Consider the following 12,845-nt stretch of genomic DNA (forward strand, 5'->3'; position numbering starts at 1 on the left):
GGATTGCTTGAGGCTAGGAGTTCCAGGACCAGCCTGGGCAACATAAAGAGACACTTTCCTCTACAAAAAAATTTTAAAAAATTATCCGGGTATGGTGGCACATACTTGTAAATCCTAGCTACTTGGGAGGCTCTGGCAGGAGGATCTCTTGAGCCCAGGAGTTCAAGGCTGCAGTGAGCTATGATAAAGCCACTGTACTCCAGCCTGGGCAACAGAGCCAGACCCTGTCTCTTAAAAAAGAAAAAGGACAGGAAACATAATTTTGAACTTTATTATAAGAAGTGACTTTGAGAATTGAGTTTGGGTTATAACCAAATCCTTTCCCAGAAACTTTAAAGGTTCATAATTTTAATAGGTCATTCAGATCTGGAGGGAGTCAAAGTTAAAGACATTGAGGGATAGCAGGTGTGTTCAGGAATTTAGTTTCTAGAAATCCCATTCCCTTTCCCACATGATTACATTTTATGTGTTTGACCAACTGCTGGCTGACTGGTCCTCATCTTTTGGAGTATCAAATTTTACTCCTAACAGGTGGAGCCCCACTTAATGCCAGACTGCTTGTTTTCATTATAATGAGAACTACTTAATTTGGCTTGAATTTCATTCTTGTTTGTAGAGTTCTGGTGCATATTGTCACTGTGACTTTAATAGCATTACATTCCTTGTGCTAACCTATTCTAGGATTATTTTGGTGAATACTCACTGGTACACCATTTTTCTCTCGCTAGAAAAACTATATATTGTCTACCTGTATTGCACAATAAAAATATGTTAGCATGAATTGACTTGCCTGAAATGTTACATTTCACTCTGTAAACCCATGTTAATCCAGTCTCCTTGGAGAATGACTGGTTTTCTGAGTTACTATGTCAAATAATGTTTCAGTTTTAATTTCTGTTTTAAGAAGTATGTTTATTACTAAAGCATCATAAAATTATGGTTAACTCTTTAATTCAAAAGATCTTGCAATGCCTTGTGATAATATTAATGTCTGTTGTTTCCATACTTATATAAGAGAATAAGTGGATTTCTAACGTTTTTGGTTATATAGAACCTAGACAAAATTTATTTTTATTGCTAATTATCCCTTAAACCAAGTCTGCAAAATGACAAACTCACCTTAAAAGTAGAGCCTTTATTGCAAGGCTGCTGTTAAAGCTTCTCATCAATGCCTGGGTGAGCAGACACCAAAGAAAAGGAGAAACCAGTTTTTAATGACCTAAACAGGAGACCATAGTTAACCTTAGAAAATCAACCCCTGGCTTTGAATAATTGATTAGAATTGTTACTCTGGAGAAATTTCGTTCACAGAATTTCCATCCAGGGGGACATTCACCCTCTGCTGGGTCAAGACCAAAATGTCTTTCTTGTTAGTTTTCTGAAAGCTGTTTAAAAATAATAACAACAAAAAACTTTTTCAGTTTTGGCTCATCTGTCACCAATCATGGGAACTTTATTTGCTTCTTTAGAAGCCTTTGTAATTTCCAGCATAAAGTTACCTCCTAAGCTGTCTGTTGGGGTGGAACTGCCAACCAGTGGGTTATTTTTCTCAGGACCAGGGTCCCCAAGCCTAAACTCACCAGTCGGTAACAGTTCTTCAAAACAGGCCTACCATCCTCTTTGACCAGTGCCATACTTAGAAGAAATAGCAATATATTAATAATCTTCAGCACCCATGTCTTTCAGACACACCAGACAGGAACATAATTTGCATTTGAAACTTTTCCAGTTTCAGAGCATGTGATTTTGGGTTTATTTCTCCCTTTGGTCTTTAAAAGCAACTATTGCTTTTTCTGAATCATTTCTTCATAATAATTTCCACACTGGCTTTTTCACTAATACAAACCAACTTGAAAGACCAATGGGAACGTTTCCCATAAAATATCTGCATGGTATGTGCCTTTTTGCTCTTAACTATAACCTGGTTGTATTAGGCTAGCAACAAAGCAGATGGAATTTTAAATCCTGATGAAGTTATATCACAGGATTGTTGGGGGAAATACTTGGAATTTGACCACTCATATGTTGAGTCCATGCCAGTCCTCATTATATAAGTAAATCATAGCTAAGATTTTCTATAAATTAAAGCTGGCTAGTCTACCAAGACTGCTCTGAAACTTAGGTAATATCTCCTGCAATATGGAAAAATTTTGCTGTACTGTTTCCAATTAAAACCAATCTTTGTTGCAAAGACATAAGAAAATTCATTCCCATGTACTTGAACTCATAATCATAGAAATTTAGGAGACATGTCTAAAAACTTGAGTTCAGCTTTTCATGTCCTTTATAGGTTGTTTTTGCAGGCAATCTTTTACTACACTTTTATGTTAAACCTATTTTGAGAATTTGGAAAAATGCAGTAACTGAGATAAACTTAGTATCCTTCAATGGAAACCAAATATTTTTCAGAAGCGTTGAACAGTTGTTATTCCCTCATTTATCCCTAAAAAAAAGTTATCACCTATATCTATAGGTAAAACTTTAGCAGGTATTGAATTCAAACTATATGTATATAAGGATATTTGCAATATTATGTTTGTTGGTTCTTATTCTTTTGAGACAGCCTGTGTCTTTTGAGACAGACAGACTCTGTTACCCAGGCTGGAGTGCAGTTGTGCACCATCTCCACTCACTGCAACCTCCGCCTCCTGGGTTCAAGCAATTCTCCTGCCTCAGCCTCCCGAGTAGTTGGGATTATAGGCCCGTGCCACCACGCCTGGCTAATTTTTGTATTTTTGGTAGACATGGGGGTTTCTCCATGTTGGCCAGGCTGGTCTTGAACTCCTGACCTCAAGTGATCCACTCGCCTCGGCCTCGCAAAGTGCTAGGATTACAAATATGAGCCACTGCGCCCAGCGGATATTTGCAATATTATGTACAGTGAAACTTAAACTATTGAAAATCATCGAGTAAACTCAAAATAGCAGAATTCCTCTCTTTTTTGTGATTATGCATTTTTACCTAGGAAATGCTTATAGCTGGGCAAAAAGTGTTTTCAGAAGGCAATAGAGGCACGGTGGAGAATGTAATTTTTAAAACTTTACCATGTTTTTTTAGAGAGCATATTCACCTTGTTCCTGCTGTTCCATCAGTGCAAATGAGCACTATATTTTTCTTGACCTTGAGTTTGGCCTAAGGGAGCAAAAATCAGTATTAAACCATAATACAGGGAGAAGGCCAGATGAGGGCATCTTATTTTTTTTCCTCTCCCTGCTTTATGTTAGGACCTTGATCTAAAATAAGCAAACGAGGCACTGTGTTTATTTTTGAAGCTCTCCAGAGAGGCCTACAACCTTTACCACGTTTCTTAATTTTAAGTGACCTTTACTATCAGAAAACATTCATATTACTACTATTAAACAGTTACTTAGTTTTAAAAATTAAATAATTACTAGACTCTTAAGATTAAGAGTATTGTGATATTAAATCTGGACCTAGTAGGAGTTTACAGTAGATATAAGAGCCACACTGGAAGTTAGTATCTTTTTGTACAGCAACACTGTTTGGAAAATGAATAGGAAAAAAAGTCCCATTTTACAATAGAACAAAAACTTTATCAACCTAAGAAGAAATATGTGCAAGCTTTTTTTTTTTTTTTTTTTTTGAGACAGGGTTTTGCTGAGTCACCCAGGCTGGAGTGCAGTGGCGTGATCTCGGCTCACTGCATCCTTGACCTCTCAGGCTCAAGTAATTCTCCCACCTCAGCCTCCTGAGTAGCCACCACGCTACCATGCCTGGCTAATTTTTGTGGGGTTTTGTTGCTGTTGTTGTTTTTTTTAATAGAGATGGGGTTTCCGCCATGTTGCCCAGGCTGGTTTCAAACTCCTGGGCCTACACAATGCACCCACTTTGGCCTCCCAAAGTGCTGGGATTACAAGCGTGAACCACTGTGACTGGCTATGCAGCCTCACATTAAAGAAAATAAAACTTTATTGAAGGACTTAAAGGAAGACCTGAATAAGTAGAAGGAAATACTGTTTTTCTGAATAACCTGATTCATTATTTTAAACCATCTAGCTCCTCCATAATTATGTAGACATTCCATTTAATCCCTAATGAAATCCCCAATTTTTAAAGAAGACTTTTTTTTTTTTGAGTGGTTTTAGGTTCACAGCCAAAATTGGGAGGAAGGTTCAGAGATTTTCCCCCACACACGCATAGCTTCCACCATTATCAACATTTTCCACCAGAGTTGTGCATTTGTTACAACTGATGAACCTACATTGACACATTATTATCACCCAAAGTCCATAGGTTACATCAGGTTCACTCTTGATATTGTGTATTCTGTGGGTTTGAACAAACGTGTAATGACATATCTACCATTGTTGTATCACAGAGTAGTTTCATGGCTCTAAAAATCCTGTGTGTTTTTTTAAAACACTACAAAATTGATTCAAAAATCCATCTGGAAGAGAAAGTGCTTAAAGGAAAATCAAGGACAATTTGAAAATGTGAGGCAGGTGCATATAAATGGCCGAACCTGGTTCACGTGCCTCGGATCTAGCTGCATGAGAGAGCCCGGAAGAGTGTGTTTGGACTTCTTGGCTAAGATTTGTACAAGATGGACTTTACTATCCACCACCATATGCATTGTGGAGGATTCTTCAGTCATAGACATTGGGCAGGTTCCCTCCCCTTCAAAAACTAAGGAAGCACAGATATCTAATTGCAGCTCATTATGGTAGCTGTTACTACCACATAGCGAGTAAATGGCTCAGCTAATATTTTTTTTTCTACTGGTCTCCAAGAAATGAAACATAATTTGATCTAACATCTATGATGTAATTAAAGCTCACAGTTGGTAGTGTTTCTGTTCTTTCTTTAAACCCTGGAGATTTTGTCCTTACTCTGGAAGCATTAGGTGGTCAAGGCCTCTTGCTCTCTAGAGAAGGCTGGTCCCTGTCTACTTCTGTCCCTTCTGCCTTCCACCAGTCTTCAATCTGTAGTGTTTTGCCCGCTGTAATTCTCCTAGTTGTTCAGTATTGGTGAGGAAGTAGGTTCAAGCTGAGGCAGAACAGCAAAGTTCAGTGAACTTTTAATTGCAGTACTGCCTCAATTAAAATACAGAAAAAATATAGACTGATTAAGGAATAGTTCCTTAATGTGCCAAAATAAAAACTGTTTATGTTAAGTCTTTTATTTGTAGTTAAATTATTTGTGCTTTATTTTTCCCCAGTAGGGGGACTTAGTTTGAAGCAACTTGTTAAAAAAAAATTTTTTTTTGACCTTTACCTTTCTCTCATTAAAACCCAGGTGGTTGGCTAAATACACTTGTAATGATGTTAATTAAGGCATTGGATAGTCTCTAAGCCTGTGTGTGTACTGAATTAATCTATTAGCTTTGCATCTAATTCTTCACTTTGAATTTCAAGTAGAAGGAAGCTGTTTGCCTCTAAAGTTTAAAAGCCATTGATGTGATTGTTAAACTTGGTATTTTAAGCCATTCCAGGCTGCAGCCTGGCTTTCAGTGGTACCTTCTAAACATGCCTCAATACAAATGATGCTTTGTTTTATGTAGAAAATACGAAGCTGCTTTTGATTATTCTGTGCTGCCACTGCCCGTTTTCTGTGGTTGTGGACTATTTAGGAATTTAGTGCAGTGACTCTCTTGCTGAGCTATGGATATTTGGTATCTTCTTGTTAACATTCTCCAAAAGTGTTTCCCAAGCAACAAAACAAGCAGAAATAATTCAGTATAAAGGTATTGTATTTTTCTTTACTGGGGCATTTAAACAAATTCTGCAAAATGTTAGAACATGATTTAAACATAGAATGGGACTTCTGTGTTTTTTTGTTTTGTTTTTTGTTTTTTGAGATGAAGTCTCGGCTCTGTTGCCTGGGCTGGAGTGCAGTGGGTGCCATCTTGGATCATTGCAACCTCAGCCTCCTAGGTTCAAGCGATTTTCCTGCCCAAGCCTCCCAAGTACCTGGGATTACAGGCATGTGCCACCACACCCAGCTAATTTTCGTATTTTTAGTAGAGGTGGGGTTTTGCCATGTTGGCCGGGCTGGTCTCAAAATCCTAACCTCAGGTGATCTGCCCACCTCAGCCTCACAGAGTGCTGGGATTACAGGCGTGAGCCACTGTGCCCAGCCTGATTTTTAATAGGAGCAGGAATGCTGGTTGTTCCCTCTGGTTTGATAGGTTCCTTCATCAGATTTTCTTTGTTGTCCCTCATGTATGTCACAAAGTCAAGAAAAAGCATGGACTTTGAAATTAGAGGACACAGACTCACATCCCTGCTCGATCACCTCCTATTTAACTTGAATTTGGACATATTTTCTTAACCTTGATTAAACTACCTTATAGTTGTATTGTCAGGGTTGAATACGAATACCTTTCTGCAAAAGTGTTTTAGCTTGACATTTGGCCTCTGCTAGATATCCAGTACATCTTTTCTTTCTTGAGAAAACTGTGTGATACCTTAAAGAACTAACAAAACCCTTAAAAATATATAAATAAAAGATATACCTAATGTTAAAGGACGAGTTAATGGGTGCAGCACACCAACATGGCACATGGATACATATGTAACTAACCTGCACGTTGTGCACATGTACCCTAAAACTTAAAGTATAATAATTAAAAAAAAAAAAGCTTCTTGTTCCTTTTCTGTTATGGAGAAGACAGGACTGATCTCAGATGAAGAGTGATGTTCTAGAAGCTTCTTTCCATGACTTCCTATTCCCAAATATTCTGGCATCTCCTCTGGATACTAAAGGCTCTTCTCCCAGCTTCAGCCTTTCCCCTATAACAAAACTGGGGAAGCTCTGAGTCATTTGTCTGCCCTGTGGTGGTTTATGCTTTCAAAATAATGTATTTTACCTTTTAACCTCTATGAAGTACTTGCATTTTATGGTTTTCTCTTTATGAAGTTAAACTGAAAGGCTTTTCTCCTTGCTTAAAGGGATTTCGGGAGTTGGCAAGCAGTTTCGAGAATAGATTTCTAAGTACAGTTTATAAAATGTTATCTCAACACATCCTTTGTGAATGAAGGTCTTTATATATGGAGGGCCCTTGTCCCCCGACCTCTTCATAGCTTTTCCATGTGTTTTAGGGAAATATAAAGGATGAAAGAGTTAGGGGAAGTAGGGAACAGATATCTACCGTTTATCATTAGGCACCTACATGTAAGGCCCAAGCTGGTTTCATGCTGAACTGCCTGTTTTCCTGGTGGGGGGCATACTTGGAGAAAGCTCTGGACCCCAGAGGAAAGGGAAGTCAGTCACCCTGGACTAATAAGACCTTTTTGTGGCATAAGATCTCCAGCAAGGCACCACCTATCTGAATCATCATAAAGCATGTGATAAAACTCTCAAACAATGCTTCTTTACTTGAGCTGCTTTTTGTATGTGTATGTATAAATGCCATAGGAAGCTAGATCAGTAGTAGGCAAATGAGCAATTCCGAGTTCATTTTTAAATTATCAAATCTAATTTTATTTCACAAATTTTTATTAAAACTCCTCTGTAAAACACAAAGGTCTTATTTTGTACAGACTTAGTTTTCAGAAAGTTCCATGTATATGTAACTTAATTCCCATAAAAAGTTTCATCTTTGCTTTTCCATGTTTTCTATTTGCACTTCCTAGAAGGGGAATTCTAAGGTTTTATTTCTATCCTACAGGAATGTAAAAAACTTGATTTCATATAATCTACTGGCAAGTGTAGTTCCTGAGTGGGGAGACGGGCTACAAAGGATTCTGAAGTAGATTGGCTTTTATTTCGTGGCTGGTGATCCAAACTGAGTATTCCTCATAAGAGTCTTAAGGGGATGGTGTGTTTACCAACCAGTTGTCTTGCAGTTAATGAGGGTGGCCATCAGGTGACCAGCTGGGTAGCCCTAGCTCTGGATCAGCATCAAATTGAGAAACCTTATTCACATCCAGAATCAGAGTTAGAACGCAGCATCTGTGTGTCTTCTCTCTCCCACTCCCCTCTGTCCTTTTAGGGGCAGGCTAGTTATACCTCATCAGCCATGAAAATACCATTGTTCTTGTCCTATGTTCTGGTGACCACAGTGCAGTGGGTAAAGGTAAAACGAGCAACTGAGCAGCTGGTTTTAATTCTTCACACTCTTAAAGTTTGTCAGGGAGTTGCCCATTTTTAAGGGAGTTTGGAGCCTTCAACTGCTAGATTTGGTACATGGTGATGATCTTTATGCCCTGGGATGTCATCAGGAATGATGTCTCTGATGTGAGACATGCATGGAGGTGGCTGTAGTGGTTTGAGATCTTGTCTGGGTTTTTGTAGATCACGAAACTGGCTGATAGCAGAGGCTAAGAGCCTGGAGGTAGACTCCAGGTTAAGGATGGAAGAGAGCCACCTGCACACAGGGTCTTCCTGATGATTGTGTTTTTATTTCACTTGCCAAAATTAAGGAATTTATGTTAATGCATTGTTTCTTTGTGAGGGCTTGCTCTTCACGCCCCACTAAGCAAATTTTCTATATGACTTATCTAGAAAGCTTCTTTCCAAGTACGAGATGTTAAAAATATTTTGATTTTTGATAGTACATCTTCGTGTTGTCTTAGTCTGCTTGAGCTGCCGTAACAAAGCACCATTGACTGGGTGGCTTTAACAATAGAAACTTATTTCCCCTCGCCATGCTGCACGCTTGAAAGTCTGAGATGAGGGTGCCAGCATGGTTGGGTGCTTGTAGGGGTTGCCCTCTCCCTGTGTTCTCACATGGTAGAGACAGGGATAGCAAGTTTTCTGGTATCTCTTCTTATAAGAGCGCTAATCTCATCATGTGCTCATGTAACCCAATCATCTAATCTGACCTCATCCAACCTAATTGTCTCCCAAAGGCCCCATCTCCCAAATACTGTCACATTGGGAGTTAGAGCTTCAACATAGGAATTTTGGGAACACAATTCATCTATAGCACTTTAATGTTGTTATTATAAACACGATACCCTGGAGAATTGGTCATGAAACACCATTATTTTATGTACTAAGGAAGAAAAAAAGTCAATCAATTAGAATGTTTATTACACTTAAGATTTTCTTTAAACTACTAGAGAAGTAAAAATGAGAATATCAGTATTTGAATCCATGCCTAATATTTATATACTCAATGTACAAAATTCGAAAAATACGCTGGGCCCAGTGGTTCATGCCTGTAATCCCAACACTTTGGGAGGCTGAGGCGGGAGGATTGCTTGAGCCTAGGCGTTCAAGACCAGCCTGAGCAACATAGTGAGACCTTGTCTATTAAAAAAAAAAAACAAAAAAAAAACTGGCCAGGTGTTGTGGAACATGCCTATAGTCTCAGCTACTTAGGAGGCTGATGTGGGAGGATTGCTTGAGCCTGGAAAGTCGAGGTTGCAGTGAGCTGTGATCACACCATCACACTCCAGCCCAAGTGACAGAGTAGTAAGACCTTGTCTCCACAAAAAAAAGAAAATAGAAAACACTCATAATACTTACAAGCAAATAACCCAAGATATTCTGTATTTTTTGCTTTATCTTTTTTAAATACAATGTCATTTTTTTGTATAAAAAAAAGCCTAAGATTTTATTGTACCAATGTACCATGGTTTTATTTGGGCCCATTTTGTTTCCATATTTTTTTCATTTAAAAAACCGTCTGGAAAATACATACCTTTGTATGAATTTTATTTTAGAATATGTTTTCAAGCATGGAGTTAATAGGGAAAGGAAATGAACTTTTTATAAGCTGTTAGTGCCTCTTGCCAAATTGTTTTCTAGAAAGCTCATGTTGGTTGCCACCTGTGTAAGCAGTATGTGAATGTGCCTGCTTGCACAATTCCTATTACTAGGGGGTATTTGTGGGTTTTAGTAATCTTTGTCACTTTTATAGGTTAAAACTTGCACTTCATTGTTTTTAATTAGCATTTCTTTGAGATTGGTAGACCTCTTCCAGTATTTATTGCTCTGTTACATTTCTTCTTCAATGATTGTCTTTTTCATGCCCTTGTACTTGTTTTTTTCTGTTGGGATTGTGAGGGGCTTGTTAGTCTTGTTCTTCCCTTTTCCTAATCTGGCTGTTGTGTATAGTAATGCAAATTTTCTATATGACTTATCCAGAAAGCTTCTTGGGGAATTTTTACTGAAGTCGCTGATGGTGAAACTGCCTATGTTCTATAGGTAAAAGTTTCTCTGCGTTGTTAACATTTCATGTTTGTGCTGAGGCTAGAGATCCACTAGTCTGATTGGCTTATATTCAAGAATTTATAAAGAAACCAAAATAAAAGCATAAAAGCAACCCCATTGAGTCATCAAGCCATCCACAGTACTTGATAACATTCTGTCTTTGTGCACAGCCAAAGATGTCAAAGTTCCTCCTCTACCCAGATGTGCTGGAAGCCTGACTCCTGGTAAGTTCCCAACAGTAGATGGGGATAGTTCCAGCAACATTTCCTTAATAAATTGCTATAATCATAAGTGCAAACTTCTATCCATGGCTGCATGCTCTTAGATTATTATGTGTAGAGATTCTTTTTTAAACTATGATAAAGTAATGACATTTTGAAGTTTTAGATCTAGGAGGATCTTAGAAATTGAGTTCAATTTCTTGCTTGAGGAAGACCTGGAAAAAGAGGCATTGAGCAACTACCCAAAGTCGTATAGCTAGTTAAAGCAAAGATGGACTCAGAGTGTAGTGTTTGTACGTTAGTGGTTTATACTATGTCTCCGGCTGTCTTCCTTTATTATCTCACACCGAGTAAACATAAAGGAAAACATATCTCTATGTTATATCTCTATATCTCTATCCCTGAGATAGAAGATAGAAAATTTTCTTTATAATTTCTTCCTTCAGGGACGTTCATTTTGTTTTTTTTTTTCCTTTAGATTTTTTTTTCTTTTCCTAGAAGGATTATTTGTGAGATTCTTACATGGTCTTGATCTAGACTGAATCACTGAGTAGACAGGGTCTTGCTTTGTCACCCAGGCTAAAGTGCAGTGGTGCGATCATAGCTCACTGTAGCCTCTAACTTCTGGATTACGCAGTCCTCCCACCTCAGGCTCCCTAGTTGCTGCGCTACAGGCGTGCAGCTCTACACCTGGCTAACTTTTAAATTTTTTGTAGAGGTGGGGTCTCAGTATTTTAAAGCAAAGTTTTGCTTGGTATCCTTGAGACTGTCCTAATTCCATCCTATTCTAAAATCACTTGTTTTTGTAAAGCCATTCAAACTCCATAAATGTAATAGTGTACACAATTATAAAAACAAAACCTATATGATGGTATTAAAACAGACACTATTCCTATTTCTTCTCTGCTTCTCTTTTCGCTCCCCAAAGGCAATTAATGTTAACAATTTCTTAGATGATCATTCAAGATATTTTCTGTGCTTCTGTGCATATATGTATGTGCATATGGACACACATCAATACATATATCGATCCTTAAGAAACCCCACATGGACTTTATAATACATCTTATTCTGTAAACTACTATGATGATTGCATTTTATACATTTTTTTCATATTGGCACATATCGATATATAGCCTTCTAAAAAGTAGCTCAGTGTTGCATTGGGTAGTTATAATTTATCTCATTCTTCTGTTGATGGACACTTAAGTTATATATATTTTTTTTATTACAAGTCAGTTCTAGAGTGAATCTCCTTGTACATAACTGCCTGTGCTTTCATAAGAATAGTTGTAAGAAATTCTGTTGGGTAACAGGTTTGTTCATTTAAAACTTTTCTAGGTTTTGTCAAATTGTCCCTTTGAAAGGTGGTAAGTTTACAATTCCACCAGTAATATAAGAGAATACTTGTTTTTTCATATCCTTAGGTTATGATCAAACTATTTCATCTTTGCCAGCATGAGAGGCAAAAATTGTGTCTGTTTTTAATTATGCAGTTCTTTAGAATGAACTCAAACACATTTTTATATGTTTATGGGCTATTTGAAACCATACTTCCTGGGTTTGTATCCTGGCTCCACAGTTTATCAGCTATGTGAACTTGGGCAAATTACTTAACCTTTCTGTGCCCTGTGATTCACTTGTGAGGATTAAATGAATTACTATTTATAAAGGGCTCAAGCCCATGCTTGGCATATAGTATATGTTATGTCAGTATTTGTCAAAAATTAAAATTTAAATTTCTTACTCTCTCCTACCTGTTTGTTTACCTATTTTTGTCTTGGGTTCAATAGCTATTTTAATATTTTGGTAAGTGGTTAATCATCTGATAGCTTACTAGCTAAAGTTCTAAGCAAGGCAAATGTGTGTCTTGTTTAATTTTGAATTATAAAGCCTGAAAAGATATATGTAAGTCATCCTTTATTTTTTATAGGATCAAGTGAAGGATTTTGTATCAGTTCTGTAAATTCACTGTTGAAAACTAAGAGGTTACAAAGCAATATTTCATGGAGGTCAGCTCTCTTTATTTCCCTGCTTTGTCTGTGAGTTTTGATTCTACTAATCTGATTAAACCTCTTAGAGCTACATCCTTAGCTCCAAGATTCTGAAGATTAGAGATTCTGGAGGATTTTTTCCCCCTCCATCCATTAAATTGTTACCATGGTTATTGGACTCCTCCAACAGTACCTCTAATCCTTCTGATTTCTGGAAGCAGCATCTTAAGGGTGAATAACTCTGCTGGTTTGGTTTCAAAAAACTTAAGTAACGTAAGAGTCTGTTTGAATATGCCTACAGTTTTCTTTGAATAATTTTTTCTGAACCTGTTTTCTTGCCTACAAAATGAAGTTAGTATTGCTCTGTATCATTAAGTAATTATGAGGGTTAAATATTTTTTTAAAAAACTTCAGGCATGATAGTGTTGAAGATATAGGGTTGTTTTGTTTTTGTATTTTTTTTAAACCTATGGTATACCTGCTTTTGGGAAATGCCCATTAAGCAAGG

At 37.5% G+C, this 12,845-nt stretch overlaps 1 protein-coding gene across 37 annotated transcripts in view; it reads left to right on the plus strand.

Moving 5' to 3' along the window:
- Window positions 1-12,845, plus strand: part of TANC1 (tetratricopeptide repeat, ankyrin repeat and coiled-coil containing 1) — a 264,020-nt gene that overhangs the window by 97,543 nt on the left and 153,632 nt on the right. For 12 of the 37 annotated variants that reach the window (XM_047446107.1, XM_047446108.1, XM_047446125.1 and 9 more), the window contains one exon: window positions 10,293-10,346. The exons of the other annotated variants lie outside the window; for them this stretch is intronic. In XM_047446107.1, the coding sequence (XP_047302063.1) occupies window positions 10,293-10,346 (54 nt within the window). The remainder of the gene's footprint in view (window positions 1-10,292; window positions 10,347-12,845) is intronic. 37 annotated transcript variants of the gene reach the window in all.

Source organism: Homo sapiens, chromosome 2, assembly GCF_000001405.40.
Source record: "Homo sapiens chromosome 2, GRCh38.p14 Primary Assembly".
In the NCBI taxonomy this organism is placed as follows: domain Eukaryota; kingdom Metazoa; phylum Chordata; class Mammalia; order Primates; family Hominidae; genus Homo; species Homo sapiens.